Source organism: Homo sapiens, chromosome 5 (genome assembly GCF_000001405.40).
Source record: "Homo sapiens chromosome 5, GRCh38.p14 Primary Assembly".
NCBI classification, from domain to species: Eukaryota; Metazoa; Chordata; class Mammalia; order Primates; family Hominidae; genus Homo; species Homo sapiens.
In genome coordinates this window covers 111,494,924-111,512,848 of record NC_000005.10, presented here as the reverse complement: position 1 = coordinate 111,512,848, position 17,925 = coordinate 111,494,924, and the positions used below count along the sequence as shown (strand labels likewise).

Here is a 17,925-nt window from a genome sequence, read left to right as displayed (position 1 = left end):
TTACTGCTTGACAAAATTCTTTCACAATTAAGTGATCACAGGACAACCCAACCCAACCAATCCAAACCTGCAGGCAACCCCAGACATCCAGGGAACCCTGGCGCGGCTCGGGCCAGCCCACACCCACGCGGAATCATTCCATTTATCGGCCACCAATCAGCCCTCCACACGCTCCCGCGCCAGCCAATCCGAACAAGCGCACGTTGTTCCGGCCACCTCCTCTCAGCCCCCCCTCCCCGGAGCCCCCGGGATCGGGCCAGGGGGCGGGGCTGGGGGCTCGGCCCGCCTTGCCCTGAGGCGCTGGGTGCCTTCCAGTTGGCTGCGACCAGCGGTGACTTACAAGTTGGCTGCTGTCGCCTGCGCATCGGCGGGCCGGGAGGCTGAGCAGTACTGTTGAGAGCGGTGTGAGGTGCTTGGTAGCGCGCCGTAGCTGCTTCCACGTCCTTGCTTCACCTCAGGTAAAGGTAAGGAGAGCCACGGAGCCGCGGCAGGATTGGGGTGGCCCGTGTGGAGGGCGACTGTGGCGCCCGGGGCGTCCTGCCAGGTGCGTCTTCTGGACCTGCTCCAGACCATGGATCTGGGGAGCTCGCGGTGGACGTTGGGGATGGCGGGCCCCGGCGTCCGGGCGGGAGAGGACCTCACAGATGAAAGAGAAACCTGAGCCCCTGGGAGGGGAAGCGGCGAGCTGGAAGGATCCCAGGGCTTGCAACTCGCCCCTGCGCGCCGCTCACCTATTTAAGTACTTGGAATCCATTAGACCTCAGTGTCCTCAGCTGTTAAATGGGAGAGGGGCGGTGGTAATCCCGCTTGATTTGGGACAGTCCTGTTCTTTGGAGGTCACCGCGCTTCCTGGTTCTTAGGAGGTGCACAGACAGCGCAGGGGCAGCCGCGTCCCACCAGGCTTCGCGGAGGTGATGCCAAAGACAAGAGACAAAGTTTTCCCAGGGCTTACTGCCTTCCAAGGTCCCTGCTAAATGTATTAACTCAAATAATTTCTCACCAAATCAGTGTCATTGTTTTCCCGAATTTACACTTGAGAAAGATTACCTTAGATTTTTAGGTTCAGCAGCCAGGACAAAACTTGACAAATATTTGGTGGGCCCAGGTTTTTTATATGAAGTCTTTTCCAGCCTGTGATCAGCTTCCACAGTTTTACAAGAGAGAGCTTTAGGCTCTGAAGTCAGACGCCCTGGGTTGGAATTCTGGCTCCATCACTTATGAACTGTGTGATCTTGGACAAGTGACTCAACCTTCCTGTTGCTATTTTCCCTTTCTGTAAAACAGGGAAAATGTATAGACATTAAGCTACTATTCTCACTTATGGAAGACCTCAAGATATCTAAAGTATGCCCATTTACACCAATCCTAGAGCTTCTGAATAACTAAAATTCCTTTACCATAATGAAACACATTTTCTCAAGGAGGACTATTACTGTTGTGAGGATTAAATAAAATAAATGCAATGTAAAGCAGCCAGAAGGACTGACCATGTAGTAAGTGATCAATAAATGTTATTGTTATTTTTTAAAATCAAGTACAGAGCATTAGGTTTTTTTTTTAATCAAGTATTAGAGCATTAGGGGTTTGAACAGTAAGTTGGCTCACTATTCATATTGTAGAAATATACTTCCATGTTGCATTTCTTTAAATAGTGAGCTCCTGCCAGAGCCAGTCTCAAAAAATGAGAAGCTGCTGTACTTGTCTGAGTTAGAAAACTTAACAGTTCAACATTGATTGGAAATCAAGCATATGCTGAAATTTTTATGTTAGTTAGAAAATATAATTTAATTTACAAAGCTTTGGTTTGTATGACATTGGGGAAAGTCCATGGCATGTTAAACTGAAGCTGTTGACGGAAGTGAAAACCATATTAATCAAGTAATGCAAGGTTAGACCGTTCTGATACCTGCATTTCTTTAACAAGTGAATTCTGACCTAGTCGTACTACAAAAGTCCAAACAGATTTTTATGGCATTCACTTTACATTACAGGTTAAATGTTTTATTATGTTCCATATTTAAAATAGAACCTATGCCATCTCACTGTGACAGATATTTGAGAATAATTGGAGTTGGATTGGTCAAGACTATGGTGCTGATAGATGGCCTCAAGAAAAGTAACTTGAGACAGCTGCCCTCCCTATGATGGCAGCCACTATCACCACTAGTGATAGCTTCAAAAGCATGGGCATAGAAAACATGAACAAAAAGATTAAAGGAAAAACATGGAGGTGGACATTACTCAGCATTTGGCCATGGGACTGACAAGAGTATAAAATCTTTTATATGAACCTATTATATTCTGATAAGGTTAAGTGGTGCCTGTTCTCTCTGACGTGTAAATGTTAGAGTTGGATAATTTCCTGATATAAGGTCAAGATAAGGGAATAAAAGACTGAATTAGTAAAAGGAAGTTCAGAATGGGTTCAGAATGGCATTTAAAACATTTACCTGACATTCTCCACAGTTGGAGATTGCAGGAGGGCAAATTAGGTGTTTTCCTCTCAATTAATGTCAGTACCCTGTTATATTAGGAGAGAGAGCCAAGACCTTGATAACCCATCTCCCCCAACCCTCTTGGTTCTAGAATATATTAATATTTTGAGAAATGCTCAATTATGCCTGTTTACACAGAGGTAGCAGTTTTGATGGCAATGATTATTTCATTATGGACTTAATCTTGATGAAAATAATCCATGCAAGACTTAACTGTTTGGTTAAATACATTGCTGGACATATTTAATCAGAGAGAGCTTTCTGATTTTGTACTTCTTTCTCTTCCTTTCCTACCTCCCACTGCACCACTCTTAAAAAGGCTATTAATAGAATTTTTTAATGTTTTAGTTTTTGTTGTTGTTATTTCTGTTAAAGCTTAAGGGTGGAATAAGTCAATTTGAGAGTAAAATCTGAATTCCATCTGTTTCTGTAGTTCTAGGACCTGGTATATAATAGATGCTTGATAAATATTTAATAGTAGTCCTTCTTGAGAAATGGTGTTTCATTATGGTAAAGGAAGTTTTAGTTATTCAGAAGCTCTAGGATTGGCGTAAATGGGCATACTTTAGATATCTTGAGGTCTTCCATAAGTGAGAATGGTAGCTTATTGTCTATACATTTTTCCATTTTTTATTCACTGTGTTCCTACTGAGTGCTAGACGTAAGGAGAATTAATATTGAACAAGCCAGATTTCCTACCCCCCAAAGATTTTACAGTTAAACGGGAGAAGATAACAAGTGAATAATTACAGTACAGAGTTGCTGTCAGAAAATATTGGAGGGGGAACTAACCCAGGTTCAGGGGAATCCAGGAAAGATAAGTGGAAATTAGGTAATGAAAATATGCCACATTATAAAAGGGCCTGTAAGCTATAGTAAGGAGCTTGAACTTTATACTGATCAGTATGAATTACTAAGTCAAGTACCTTAAAGTTGCAGATTCTCATCTCTTCTAGGTAGCTAGCTTTCTAGGTAACTTTCCGTGCACTGGATTTGCCCAGTGATAATGTTTGCTTATGATAATAATAACTTTCTGTTTCACCTTTGATTTCTATCAAAAAGTTTTGCATAAATACTCTTATCTGCCAACCACAGGAACCTAGCAGGTGACCTTTGGGTTTAAAGAATATGTTTAATCATAGTGATCCCTGTAATAGATAAATTAAATCTCTTTTACAAGCCTTCTGCAAGAACTTCTGCTTGTTTGTGGCATACTCTTGAATAAAGTTATTGAACTGGCTATCAAGTTGACAGCCTCTTGAATGGAAATTAGGTATATTCTTGACTGAGAGACTTTTTGAATGAGCTCATCAACTTTTCATCCGTGGATTGGATCTATACTTATTATATATTTTGCATCACTTACATAGATCCTAAAAGTTATATTGAATTTTCTTTGTATACTTTCCCATGTTTCTACATAATTTTAGTATTTATAAATTTTAATGGCTTATATGCTCTAATTAGTGGTATTTAAATATTGGCTACAACCTTAATTTATTTCTGTCACTTTAATTTTTAGATCAGTTAGTTCTGATCTCTGGCTAGACAACAGAATAATTAGTGAGACTATTTTAAAGGACCTACATTTCTGAGGCCCATTCCAGAACAAAGCCACTGAATTAGACTATTTGGCACTGGGCCCTAAAATCTAACACCTAAAAGCAGCGACAACTAGTACAAAGCATAAAAAGGTGATTCTGATGTGTGCATCCATAGTTGACAACTGCAGCCTTATTCCCATAGAGGGTGATTTCATTTAGATTAGGAGATTTCATTTAGATGTTTTCTTGACCTCCTTTCCAGCAATTTGATGGTTCTGTAATGGGCAACTTTACCCCTAAAACTCTTTTCTTCTTTAGCCTTTTACTGAAGATGGGAGGAATAGAGATAGAATAGTGAAAAGTAGGAATTATGCTAAGAAATTGGTGCCCTGGCACCAAAAGAAGACAAAGACCAAGTAATTCTTGTTTTGAGACAATAACATATCAACAAAATAAGGGCCTACTATGTGCCAGGCAGTGTTCTAGGTGGTGGAGTTATAGTGGTGAATAAGAAAAGGACCTCTATGCTATTAGTTAGGAATGAGGTGGTCAAAGAGTAGAATCATACACCTATAAATAAGTTATTATATTGTCAGATAATGATAAGCACTATGAAGAAAATAACGATGTAATAGTAACTTAAGAAGGCTTTATGAAGGATAGGAGGTTTAAACTGAAATTGGCATTACATTGTTATTAGTGATGCTAAGATTTGGGATCTAGCCGTATCAAAGACCACAAGTCAGCGATAAGCTAGCCTGTTTGAGGGACAGAAAGAAAACCAGTGTAGAATACTGTAGACAATGAGGTATGATGGTGTTAAAAGGAACCTATTCTTATTAAGGGCAATTCCAAGCCTTTTGACTTGAGAACTTGGGCTCAATTGCCATTTTAATAGTAAATTGTTAAAATGAGGAATACTGTGACAAATTGAGGGAAGCCAGGGGAGGCAAGAGATTCCCTTTAGGCTTGAAGCTTTAAGTAGGCTTCTGGATCTGGGATTTTTGAGCTCATTGAAACAAAGAGGACTGGAGGTAAATGTTTGAGAGTTAACAGCATATCTATATATGAGATACAATTGCTTCCCCTTCCTCCTGTCTTCTCTTCTACTTTCTGTATGAGTGATTTTAATTGTAAAAAATATGTAATTCTCACCTCTGGCTATGGGTTATTCATCTTGGGAGCAATTAGAAAAAAACTATGCCCGGGTCCTACTCTCAGAGATTATGATTAGTTGATTTGGGGTGAGGGTAGCTATCTTTTATAGCTCTGGTAGGTTATTATATTGTGAAACCAGATTCGAGACCCACTGGCCTATTGCCTCAAACTGTGGTATTTGCTGATGCTAATCTTGGTCTCCATAACAGAGAGAAGTAATGGAAGGCCTGTCTGATGTTGCTTCTTTTGCAACTAAACTTAAAAACACTCTCATCCAGTACCATAGCATTGAAGAAGATAAGTGGCGAGTTGCTAAGAAAACGGTAAATTAGTTCAATTACTTATATTTGGGGTATATCTTCTATCTAATGAATTGGTTGATGACTTTTAAAATTAAATGGAACAATATGGACAAAGACCATACTTTGGATGGATATGCAAGAAAAATAATTGAGCTAATAAAGTTGATAGTCTAATGTCACACAGAGGAAGAAATGCATCAGTGGTAATCCTATACTGCTTTCATTAGCTCTTTGGATATTAGACAAGAGAATAGGCTCATGGCAACTAGAACCTAAAGAATGGCCTCTTAAGTCAGCAAATAAAATGTATCATTATTAATTTAAGAAAGTGTAGTACTTGAGAGTTTGGAATAGTTTCAGGTATATCAAAAAGCCTATGAAGGTAGCTAGTTAGTATTCCTTTTTACTAATGTGACTTGCCCAAACTATTACATAGGTGACTTGAGTGTTGCTAGAACTAATTCTAGAACCCAGGACACTTCTAGTTAAGTGCTCTAGCTATTCTGATATTCAGAATTACTTGGGAAATGATGAGGAAAAAATGTAGGGACAAATTCATGTTAACACTGTCGTAATAAATGTGAATTGTTTAATTTTTTAAAAGTTATGAACAATGTCAGAATGAAATAGTGTTCCTAGTGTTAGAGTCTGAATGCATCAGTAATGGTAAATAGATAAGATTGGACTAAGATAGTGCCATCATTGAATCTTACAGTGTTTGGATATCATTAAATACTACTGAAAATATTCTTTGGAGGTCTGTAATTTAAGTACAATGTGAAGAACTTTAGGATACAGAAGAAATTCAAATACAAATCCTTTTATGGTATAGATGACTTTTATGTATTCTGAAAATGTACTGGTTTTATTTTAATGCAAAGACAAATTCTATAGACTTATAAAATTATCAGTTTTGTGTCTAGGGTTCCACCTATGCAATTATTACCATATAATGTTTTTATTTTTCTAGAAAGATGTAACTGTTTGGAGAAAACCCTCAGAAGAATTTAATGGATATCTGTAAGTAACTTTTTATAGACTTACACAGCTCTTAAGACATTTCAAAACTTATATCCATTGTCACTAAGTAGTCATTGCTAGTAAGATTTAGCTTTTTAAGAGTTCTTTAACTTTTTTTTTTTTTTTTTTTTTTTTTGAGACAGAGTCTCACTCTGTCACCCAGGCTGGAGTGCGGTGGCACAATCTCGGCTCGCTGCAACCTCTGCCTCCCGGGTTCAAGCGATTCTTCTGCCTCAGCCTCCCGAGTAGCTCGGATTACAGGCACCTGCCACTGTGCCTGGCTAACTTTTTTTGTAGTTTTTAGTACAGATGGGGTTTCACCATCTTGGCTAGGCTGGTCTTGAGCTCCTGACATCCCGCCTTGGTTTCCCAAATTGCTGGGATTGCAGGCATGAGCCACCACACCTGGCGATTTTTTTTTAACTTTCCGGAAAGCAAATTGGGCTTATGAATTCAGAGCCTTAAAAATGTCCGTGTCCTTTGTAGACTGAGTTGGTGGTGAGGAGGTCATAAATAATGATATAAAATGACTGCTAAAATCTGAATTTCTTAGCATTGTATACATGACCCTTCTAATATTCTACATTTACTCAGTGCTGTAGAACATTTTATCTTAGGAACTTATCTTGAAGAATTTATCAGAAAGATAACAGTGATTTAAGTACTTGCTCTTCTATCACAGCATTATTTATAATATTAAAAATTATAAACCTGAATAATCAATAGGAGGAGACAATTCAGTAGGAAACATTTGTGATAGAATATGCTATAGCCTTTAAAAACCACATTTTTGAAGATTATTTAATAACATAAGAAAATAATATATTGTTTTTTAAAGCTTGTAGAGACAACTGCCTTGCATACTTGGAGTAGAATGTTCACATCCTTAAGACTCAGCCATTTTTCAAAATAAAACTGCTGGACCCTGTTAGTATATACAGAATGTTCTGAAGTGTAATGCCAAAGATAACATTTCCAGAAAGATGAATTTTACAATATTTATGATGAGGACAGGGAAATTGGAGTTGGATTAAGCATTGTAAGCAAGTATGGAAGTTAATTCTTTAAATTAGTAATTCCCAGTGAGGGTTGAAAATATCACGAGTGTCAAGGGAGCTTTATGCTTGGAGATCTGAAAAGACTTCATAGAGAACTAATGTTTGAGCTAACACTTAAGGGAAGAATAAGTATTTCTTAAGGAATGAAAGAGTTCATGTTCTAGGCAGAAGGAATTGCATATCTACTGCATAAACACATATGAGAAACACTGGTTTTTTTTTTTTCAGAGTCTTAAAGGGATATGTGATCAAAAGAGGTAGGACCTGATGTGTTGAGTTGGACACAAAGTGCTGTAACTGAGGCCGCAGCACAGAAGTCAAAAAGGGCAAATGCATGTGAAAGATTTAATGATAGCGATGGTGGTGGCAATGATAACCAACGTTTATTGAGAGCCAAATATTGTTCTAAGTACTTTACATTTAGGAAATCGTCCTGATAAAACCATAGTGACTGATAAGTTCTGACTATGGAAATGGGGTTAAGAGAAGAAGAAGAGCCATAGTTGAATCTAAGATTTTCTAATTTGACTAGATTAATTTGTTTTACCTCCTTCTACCCCAAGTTAAAGAATACAAGATGAGAGAGCAGATTTATGGTGGGGGAGATAATATAAGTTTGGCTTGAGTTATAAAATGATTAAATAGCTTCACATGCTTTTTTAAAAAAAAGGTACTGATAGAGCTGAAGCTAGTTTCTTATTTCATCTCCTTTCTTTCATCTCCAGAAGTAACTGCTGTCCTGAAGTTATGTGTGTTGTTCCTGTTTCATACTTTGACCATATATTTATATATCCATAAACAATGAAAAGCATTATTTGGTGTGTTTTTTATATTCATGTGTATGTCTTTGTATGTACATATTTTATTTAGTAATTTGCCTTTTTTTATTAAATATTATGTTCTCAGGATTTAGCCATGTTGTCATATGTAAATCCATTATTTTCCCTCTATGTGAATATACCACAATGTTTTTATCTATGTTTGTAGATTCACCTATTGATAGATTTTTAGGCTGTTGTCAATTTTTCTCTATAAAGTACAATGCGATAGTAAACCTCTTGGTATATATCTCTTTGTGCACACGTGTAATTTTCTTTGGGTCTTAGGGATGTATATCTTCCAACCTTACTAGACATTACCAACTTGCTCTCTAAAGTAGCAGTTTCAGGATTCTCATCCCCCTCCATTCACTACTTACGAGTTTTTAATCTCTGTCAGTCTGAGAGGTATTAATCAGATTGTTCTTGTTAGTATTTACTTGATTACTAGTGAAGTTGAAATCTTTTGTATATTTCTTGACATTTCAGGTCAGTCTTACCATGTCCTTTGCACATCTTTTCTTTGGATTTTCTTTTTCTCATTGGTTTATAGGAGTTATTCATATATCCTGTATAATAATTCTCTGTTTATATGTGTTATACTACCTTCTCCCAGTGTGTGGCTAGTTTTAAAAAATGACTTATTTTTTCTTGTGTGGTATGCATGTTTTTAATTTTAATTGATCTTTTGTATTATTTGTGTTTTTCTGTGTTTTACATATTCAAGAAATCCCCCTGTACTCTGAGGTCACAAAAATGGTATCTTGTATATTTTTCTCAAAATTTTAAAGTTTTTCCTTTTATGTGTTTTTTTGTTTGTTTGTTTGAGACGGAGTTTCGCTGTGTCGCCAGGCTGGAGTGCAGTGACGCAATCTCAGCTCACTGCAGCTTCCGACTACCTGGTTCAAGCTATTCTCCTGCCTCAGCCTCCGAAGCAGCTGGGACTATAGGCATGCGCCACCACACCCAGCTAATTTTTGTATTTTTAGTAGAGACGGGGTTTCACCATGTTGGCCAGGATGGTCTCAATCTCCTGACCTCGTGGTCCGCCCACCTCGGCCTCCCAAAGTGCTGGGATTACAGGCATGAGCCACCGCGCCTGGCCCATTTTACATGTTTTACACAGATATTTAATTTATCTGGAATTAATTATTATGAGTGGTAGAAATAGGAATCTAAGTTTTATTTTCTCCATAAGGATAACTATTGAATCTAGGCACACCATTTATGGAATTGTACATTTTTCCCCACTGATAAGTGATGCTGCCTTTGAAATATGTCAAGTTCTGACATATTTATGAGTCAGTTCCTTGGTGTTCTGTTCTATTGGCCTATTTCTCTGTTCCTAATAAAAAGTTTTAAAAAGTCAGGGTAAAAATATTCATGTACTAGTATGTCAGAGGATAACTGAGGAAAGAATATAAAAATAAGTGGAAACCTTATGGCATTCTATAAACTGTTTTTGGCTATGTTATTACATGAAGGGACTTTATTATCTTCATTATGACACGTAGTATAGCCCTCAGTTCTCTTATTAGATTTGAGGACGAAGGGTACATGCTGATAACAGTAACCGGTAGAATGTAATTTATCAGAAAAGTTATTGGGATTTATTCCCTTTAGAAAAAAAAAAACCCTTCATTATTATTATTTTTTTTTTGAGATGGAATTTCACTCTTGTTGCCCAGGCTGGAGTGCAATGGCGTGATCTCGGCTCACCTCAACCTCCGCCTCCCAGGTTCAAGCGATTCTCCTGCCTCAGCCTCCCAAGTAGCTGGGATTACTGGCAGGAGCCACCATGCCTGGATAGTTTTGTATTTTTAGTACAGACTGGGTTTCTGCATGTTGGTCAGGCTGGTCTGAAACTCCCTACCTCAGGTGATCTGCCCACCTTGGCCTCCCAAAGTGCTGGGATTACAGGCATGAGCCACCATGCCTGGCCCACCCTTCACTAATTTTTATTCTTTTATTTTTATTTTTTTTTTGAGATGGAATCTCACTCCGTCACCTAGGCTGGAGTGCAGTGGCATGATCTTGGCTCACTGCAACCTCCACCTCCGGGGTTCAAGTGATTCTCCTGCCTCAGCCTCCCAACTAGCTGGGACTACAGGCGCATGCCACCATGCCTGGCTAATTTTTGTAATTTTAGTAGAGACAGGTTTTTGCCACGTTGGCCAGGCTGGTCTTGAACTCCTGACGTCAAGTGATCCACTCACCTCAGCCTCCCAGAATGCTGGGATTACAGACATGAGCCACCCTACCCGGCCTAATTTTTTTCCTTACTTTCAAAGTTAGCTATGCACTATAAGGGTATGCTGAAATTTTTTTATTGTAACAGCGGTTGACTTAAACTTTTTTTCTCCAGCTACAAAGCCCAAGGTGTTATAGATGACCTTGTCTATAGTATAATAGACCATATACGCCCAGGGCCTTGTCGTTTGGATTGGGACAGCTTGATGACTTCTTTGGATATTCTGGAGAACTTTGAAGAGGTATCTATTTAGAAACATTACTTTAGACTGTGTGTATGTGCATGAGGGAGGGCATGAGTGAGCCAGAGCATGTGAGCATGAGCATTTGTACACACTTATATTCATTGCTTTGAGAATAGCAGTCACGACAAAGATATCACAGGGGAGTCCCATGCTGCCTCTTAAAAAGTTTGTGTTTCCTCATACTAATTAATGAGTGTTAGACTGAGTTTCTTTTCCACAGTACCTATACCCTTGCTGCTTAAAACTATATTCAGCATCCTTCATTGTAAAACTTTAGTTAAGATTCTGAAATCTAAAATTCTGAAAACACCACCATCATATTTAGGTTTCTAGGTGAATGTGTGCAGCTTTTCCATTAATACTAAGCCAACATCAATGACCAAAGATAAAAATGCCACCTTAGATATTCTAAAATTATATAGCCAAAATGACCTGCCCTGTTTCTATTTTTATTAATTCATTGCTTAATGTTTGAATTTTTTACTTAAAATGTTTGATGTTGCAGTCAAAGTATTTGTGGATTTGATCTTAAACACTGAAACAGTCTACATCCCTAATTCCATTTGGAATGTTATGTAGAATAAGACAACTGCATTTAATTAGATATTTGGATACTGGATAACTTGTACCTCTGTATTTTGATTATATATCTTCTTCATGGCCATCCAATAGCAGTGAGATTTAGAATAGAGATCTAGACCTGTCAGAATCAGTGTAAGAATTATTATAATTATGAAACATTTTAAATAAATATTAGTTTCTTTCCAGAGATAAGTTTATGATATATGAAGCTATGTATGTTTCCTATAGTAGTAACACTTGTCTTATCTCTTCTTTTTCAGAATTGCTGTGTGATGCGTTACACTACTGCTGGTCAGCTTTGGAATATAATTTCCCCAAGAGAATTTGTTGATTTCTCCTATACTGTGGGCTATAAAGAAGGGCTTTTATCTTGTGGTAATAATCTCAACATGTTATGCTTTTTTTCAGTATGGTTTAAATATTTGTGTTTTCTTGGCTGGATGTCTCTTTCCTTGTGAGATATATTTTCAACTCTGACTCTGTAATCACTAACATTTTTTGCAAGTGCTAAACTCTAGGGAGTAAAATAGCAATATCAAAAGAGTTTTGAAACCCTTCTGATAAGTTTTTGTTCCCAGTTACACAGTATCCTCTAGGTCAGAGGTAGCAAATGTGGATCACATGACTGCCTCTAAGAAAGGGTTCTAGTAAATGGATTTTCTTCTAAGCCACTCTCAGAAAACAGTTTCTTGGTCATACACAGAGAAGTACTAGATTTGGTGTGTCTTAGAATATTCTTCCTTCCTTGAGCTGTGTTGTATTTTTCTTTTCAAGATTAAAAATACTGCCATTGGAAGGCTCCTGTTTTCTAAAACGTACCTATAGGTAAATTAATATTATTTTGTATATAGTGTATACTTAAGTTAGCAGTTGTAAGTAAACATCTACTTGTTTATTCTTAACTAGCCAGTACCAAACTATAATATGGTAGTCGCTGTGGGGAATAGTTACGGTACCATGGATTTGATTTTTGGCACCTCAAGGCCTGGATACTACAACCAAGATTTGTAGCTTCCAAGGAGTACTAAGATGATATGATGTCATGTATTCTGAAAGGATTAAAAGTTTCCCCATTACCTATCTGCCAACCTCTTGTCAGAATTCTCCTTGGTAAGTCTCTTTTTCACTCTGCCATGGTCACTTTGGGATTTAATTTTCATCTATATGGATAATAATAAATATTTAAATAAGAATTCTGGTAATATTTTAAAATGAGAGTTTTATGTCAGTTATTGCTATTAATAGTGCTATTTTAAAAATTGCCTTATAGGAATAAGTCTTGACTGGGATGAAAAGAGACCAGAATTTGTTCGAGGATATAACCATCCCTGTGGTTGGTTTTGTGTTCCACTTAAAGACAACCCAAACCAGAGTCTTTTGACAGGATATATTCAGACAGATCTGCGTGGGATGATTCCTCAGTCTGCGGTAGATACAGCCATGGCAAGCACTTTAACCAACTTCTATGGTGATTTACGAAAAGCTTTATGAGAGGCAAAATACATTCAAACTTGTAGTACTACAGATCAACTCTCTCAGCTACATGGCCTGTAAAAATCATTGATTCCACTTTTCTGCATAGCCGGTAGAAAAATTTGAAATGTTTTTGGTTCACTAGTACAATGTTTGGTTTTATTCCTAAAGTAAATAGCTATCTAAGAGAGGGCATTTTCACTTTTTTTTTTTTAAATTTTGAGACAGGCTCTCACTCTGTTGCCCATGCTGGAGGGCAGTGGTATGATCACAGCTCACTGCAGCTTTGATCTGACCGCTCAAGGGGTTATTCTACCTCAGCCTCCTGAATAGCTGGGAATACAGGTGCACGCCACTATGCATGGCTAATTTTTGTTTAATTTTTTGTAGAGATGTGGTCACACTGTGTTGCCCAGGCTGGTCTTGAACTCCTGGCCTCAAGTCATTCCCCACCTTAGCCTCCCAAAGTGTTGGGATTATAAGCGTGAGCCACCATGCCTGGCCCCAATTTAAAATGTGGAATTCAGTTGGTGTCCAAGACTTATCTTGAGACTCTTAAAAGCATCAGTCTGTAACTAGAACAAATACAGTCTTAGATTTACCCAAGTGCCTAGATATCATTTTATAATGATTAGAATTGAGTATTGTGGGTCCCCTAATTCTGTGGGTGCCTTAAGTGAGAATTTCTAAATGATTTTCACATTCTAAATGACTTTGGGTTTTGAACTCTCCATCTAGTTTACTTCTAAAATGGGAACTTGAGGCAATTCAGGTATCCAGGCAAATCTTTGTATATATTTTTTTGTGTACATGCACACATCTCGAAATCCATTTCCGTGTTTAATGTTAGTTGTTTATGTGTTAGTATTCCTGTGTCTACTGTTTTGTTGTTGTTAATATGGGTAAAGTGAGCCCTGAAATACATGCTAAACAAGACATGAAATGCAGAAAGGTACATAGTGTTTCAAGTGCATGGTAGTTTGATCTGTGTTTTACTTTATTGTGTTTTCTTGAGTGTAAAGAAAGAATAAATCAAAGTTCTTCATACCCATTTTGACAAAGTGGAACAGTGGAGCTGTTTTTTGCTTTTGTTTTTATTTATTTTTTGCCACTGGTGATGATAGATTTCAAAAAACAAAAGGTGGCAGCAGCACAATGTTCATGGTGAATTATCTCATAGTATCTAGATTGATCAAGATCTGACAGAAGGAATGCACAAAGGATTCTATATTCTTAATGATTTATTAATTACCAGGATCCTTTTCTAAATTGAATGTACTTTTGAATTACTAGGTTTCTTCTTTTTTTTTGTTCTGCAATAGTGAAAGAAAACTCAGTAGTTTAGTTTCAGTTTCTCATGGAAATTGGTAAATGTTAGTTTTGACTTCATCTATTTTTTATTTGTTTTTATTAGCGTAGAGTAGGAAGTCTCATATTCTACTGTTCTATCTAGGATGGTGAAATTCCAAAGGTGCCTAACTTGAGTAAGGGATTTGTGACAAGATAGTACACATTACTATAAGGGCTATTATTTCCTGAACTGGATGTCCCTAAAAGCAAATAAACTGCCCACTATCTCTACTCTAGTGCTCTCTTTGTCCTTATCAACATATACCTCCAATAAGTAATTACATAATTCACCGTTAAACATGGACCCACTCTAGGTAAAATTACCCTCATGGAAACATTTTCACTGTGAGAATGATGAATTTAAAAATTATGTTTGAATCACCTAAAATGTATGTGCAGCTTCTAGATGGCCCCTTAGATCTGCTGGGCTCTAGCTGTGTACTTTAAAAAAACAAAAACAGCTTTATTGATATATAATTTACATATTATGTAATTTACCCACTTTTAAGTATCTAATTCAGTGATGTTTTAATACATATGTAGAACTATGCAGCCATCAGCACAATCTGGATTTAGAACGTTTCCATCATTCCAAAAGATTCCTTTTGTCTTTTTTGCAGACTCATACCTAACACAAATCTAAAGTTTATCACTGTTGCCAGGATAATTACAGCAGGTTATGTTTGGTTTCATTTTTAAGAGTGGAGGTGTTCATGATTCTAAGCTCAGGAATCTTGTGATCATGTATTAAATATGTTATCTCATACTATAATGATAAAAAAGCTTAATGATGTGGGTTGGGATGGATATTAACATAAATAATTGAGTCCGCTGCTTCTATAGCAATGCTGTAGGATAGAACAATAATGTAAGTGATATATGTAATTAAAAAATTCTAGAAGCCACATTAAAAAATAAAAATAAACAGCTGAAGTTAATTTTAATATTTTATTTAACTCAATACATCCAAAATGTTATCATTTTAACATGTAATTGATGTAAAGATTTATTCTGATAGTTTGTACTATTTCTTGTACTAATTTTTTGAAATCTGGTATGCATTTTACAAATTTGGGCAAGCCACATTTTAAGTGCTCATTAGCCACATGAGGCCAGTGGATACTGTATTGAATAGCACAGTCCTATAGCATATTTATTAATTTGTCTTGTAGTAAGATGAAATAGACAATAATACGGAATAATATCTTAAATGGAAATCTTTGTTAGTCTCTAGAGCCTTCATTGCTTGATAAATAGGACATCTAAACTTTAGATATAAATCAGTTGTCAATGAGATAAAATTATTGCCAGCAAATATTTTCCTTCAAAGATAAGTAACTTTTGATATGGCAGTTGGTGAAATGAAAGAATATAATCTGCCTTCTTGTTAAATGGTTGACTATTCTGTAGCTTGTAGGTAGTACGTATTAGAAACTTGTGTATGTGGGAAATATTTGGCATAATACTGTTTTCAGTATATAGTAGCTATTTTTTAAGGAAATTAGTTTCATACAAGAAAAAGATTATTATAAAAGTGATACTTTTGCATGAAATATTAGTTTGTGTTGATAACTCTTAGTTAACCCTTAAAGTTTAAAACAGTACTCAAAAAAAAATAATGAGAATCTAGTATTCTGTAGTTAACTAATCTATAAGATAAATTGCTAAAGTACTAGGGAGCTTGTAAATCTTAAAAATCTTTTTATTTCAGTGTTCATTCAGGTTGGATATATTTGAAATTGTAGATTTCTATCTGTACAACATCTCCTAGTTAATAGAATTTTTTTCCTTCCCCTCCCTTCTCTCTCCTCCTCCTTTTCTAACCAAAGGGCATTTTATCAACAATCATGCTGAATTCAATTAATATCTCAAGCTAAAAAACTATGTAATTGAGGTTGTATCTGGAGAAGATGGGAAAACATTGTATAATTTAAGCCCTTAATTGTCTGTTGAGCTTTTAGGGCTGAGTAATTGCCTTTCATACAAATAAAAGCTTTAACTCTTTTCTCAAGAGTGTACCACCGTCCTTAGAATCAGGTGTTTTAAATCCAGTTTCTTTTAATTAAATGGGACTGTAGTGATCCCTACCCTGTAGAGAAATCAACAGAACTAGAGAAGCTAAGGGCTTGATCAGGTTTCCCCTAGAACCTGTGTTGCCTGCCTGCTGTATCTTCCATGTCTTTCTTATTCAACTTCTAGAAGTAGAGAAGGTTGGGACTTGAGTGTAGAAGAAACATCAGAATAATTTCAAAAAACAGGAAGTTGGAACTATAATTTTTAAATTATTGTATTGTTTTTACGGATTTTACATGTATAGTTAAATATTAAAATTCATCTCTTGCAGTTCAATAAAAGCTATAGTATAGATTTTATTTTTAAGAAGTTTATATAATTCTTTTGTGAACCAATATGTAAAACTAGAATATTTATTAAACTAATAATATGTATTAGTATCAATAAAATATGTATTTATTTTTAAATTGGTATGAAACAAAATAAAAATTTGTAGACACTCTTAAAATTGGTCATTGATATTATCTTTGTAATTTAACATTAAGTACTATTTAGTTTCATATGCCTGAATTTAAAGTATGTAATTTAACTTCCTGAATTCTTACAAAAGGAAAATATAAACCTGGAAAGTCAAATTAACAACACACATGCTGATCTCTCCTGCCAGTGTCTCATATAATATTAGCTGTTATACAATACTGCTGAAACTTTATTTGCTATTATATATTCAGAACAAATAATATATTGTGCCTTTGTAAATTATGGACAGGATTTATTGTACACATGTTGAAATAATTGTGTTACCTTGATTAGGAATTATGATATTTTGTTTGGAATTGAAAAAAACTAAAAGTGATTACAAGGACACCCACGATCTATGTTATAAGAAGGCAGTTAGGGATGCTGTGGTAAGTATGTAATAGAAAATATGACTGTGAAGCAGGGAGTTACTTTCCTCATTTAATAAAACATCTGGTACTATGGTTTGAATATTTGTGTTCCCCTAAAACGCAGATGTTAAAATCCTAACCTCTAAGATAATGGTTTTAAAAGCTTTGAGAGTTGATTAGGTAACCCTAATGAATGTGATTAGTACCTTTATAGAAGAGGCCCAAGTGAGATGCTTTGGTCCTTCTGCCATATGAGGACACAGCAAGAAGGCATCCTCTGTGAGGAAGCAGGCACTCATAGATACCAAACCTGCAGGACTGTTCTTGGACTTGTGCCAGAAATGTCAGAAATAAATTGTGATAAGCCACCCAGTTTATGGTATTTTATTATAGCAGCCTGAATGGTAGTGAGAGCACTGGACTAGGAGCTGGGCAACCCTGGTCTATTCCTTCTTCAGCCACTGTGACCTTAGGTAAGCCATTACCTCTCTTGGGCATAATAGCTCTCTTTAATAAAGTGAGCTTATTGGATTAAATGATTACTAATATCCTCTTTTAACTCTAGTGATTTTATAATTTTACTCAACAGAAAATATGTGAGCACTCAGTGTTAAAAAAAAGGCTATGAAACTCAAAGTATAATTTTATCTGAGAGAATGGGAAAACACTCAAGGAGTGATTCAACTGCACATTTCAGGTGTAAGAAAAATGTCCATGGTGTCTCTCT

At 36.4% G+C, this 17,925-nt stretch overlaps 1 protein-coding gene and 1 long non-coding RNA gene across 15 annotated transcripts in view, besides 4 other annotated features; one reads left to right on the top strand and one right to left on the bottom strand.

Annotated features, from left to right (window-relative positions):
• The window catches only part of STARD4-AS1 (STARD4 antisense RNA 1), a 227,501-nt gene extending 226,878 nt beyond the window's left edge, over positions 1–623 (bottom strand). The window contains exon 1 of the long non-coding RNA NR_040093.1: positions 341–623. This is a non-coding gene — a long non-coding RNA (STARD4 antisense RNA 1). The remainder of the gene's footprint in view (positions 1–340) is intronic.
• Positions 70–439: a silencer, noted in NCBI's record as "silent region_16233". NCBI's record gives its function as "represses an Ori minimal core promoter by ATAC-STARR-seq in GM12878 lymphoblastoid cells {active_cell/tissue: GM12878}" and the evidence as "EXISTENCE:reporter gene assay evidence [ECO:0000049][PMID:35858748]".
• On the top strand, positions 314–16,816 carry STARD4 (StAR related lipid transfer domain containing 4). Of its 14 annotated transcripts, NM_001308059.2 has the most exons (7): positions 314–464; positions 5,407–5,520; positions 6,470–6,519; positions 7,806–7,834; positions 10,761–10,887; positions 11,733–11,847; positions 12,743–16,816. In NM_001308059.2, the coding sequence occupies exons 5-7, from the start codon at positions 10,852–10,854 to the stop codon at positions 12,961–12,963; spliced, it is 372 nt and encodes a 123-aa protein (NP_001294988.1). In that variant the 5' UTR covers positions 314–464; positions 5,407–5,520; positions 6,470–6,519; positions 7,806–7,834; positions 10,761–10,851; the 3' UTR covers positions 12,964–16,816. The 14 variants fall into 14 exon arrangements, 11 of the variants coding, with proteins under 11 accessions (NP_001294988.1, NP_001294985.1, NP_631903.1 ...); NM_001308056.2 differs by lacking the exon at positions 7,806–7,834 and having other exon boundaries at positions 314–458; NM_139164.3 differs by lacking the exon at positions 7,806–7,834.
• Positions 470–679: an enhancer, noted in NCBI's record as "active region_22899". NCBI's record gives its function as "activates an Ori minimal core promoter by ATAC-STARR-seq in GM12878 lymphoblastoid cells {active_cell/tissue: GM12878}" and the evidence as "EXISTENCE:reporter gene assay evidence [ECO:0000049][PMID:35858748]".
• Positions 3,546–3,665: an enhancer, noted in NCBI's record as "active region_22898". NCBI's record gives its function as "activates an Ori minimal core promoter by ATAC-STARR-seq in GM12878 lymphoblastoid cells {active_cell/tissue: GM12878}" and the evidence as "EXISTENCE:reporter gene assay evidence [ECO:0000049][PMID:35858748]".
• Positions 9,991–10,152: a silencer, noted in NCBI's record as "fragment chr5:110838395-110838556 (GRCh37/hg19 assembly coordinates)". NCBI's record gives its function as "represses an EF-1alpha promoter that drives an FKBP-Casp9 reporter gene in an ReSE screen in K562 erythroleukemia cells {active_cell/tissue: K562}" and the evidence as "EXISTENCE:reporter gene assay evidence [ECO:0000049][PMID:32094911]".
• Positions 16,817–17,925: the final 1,109 nt, after the last annotated feature.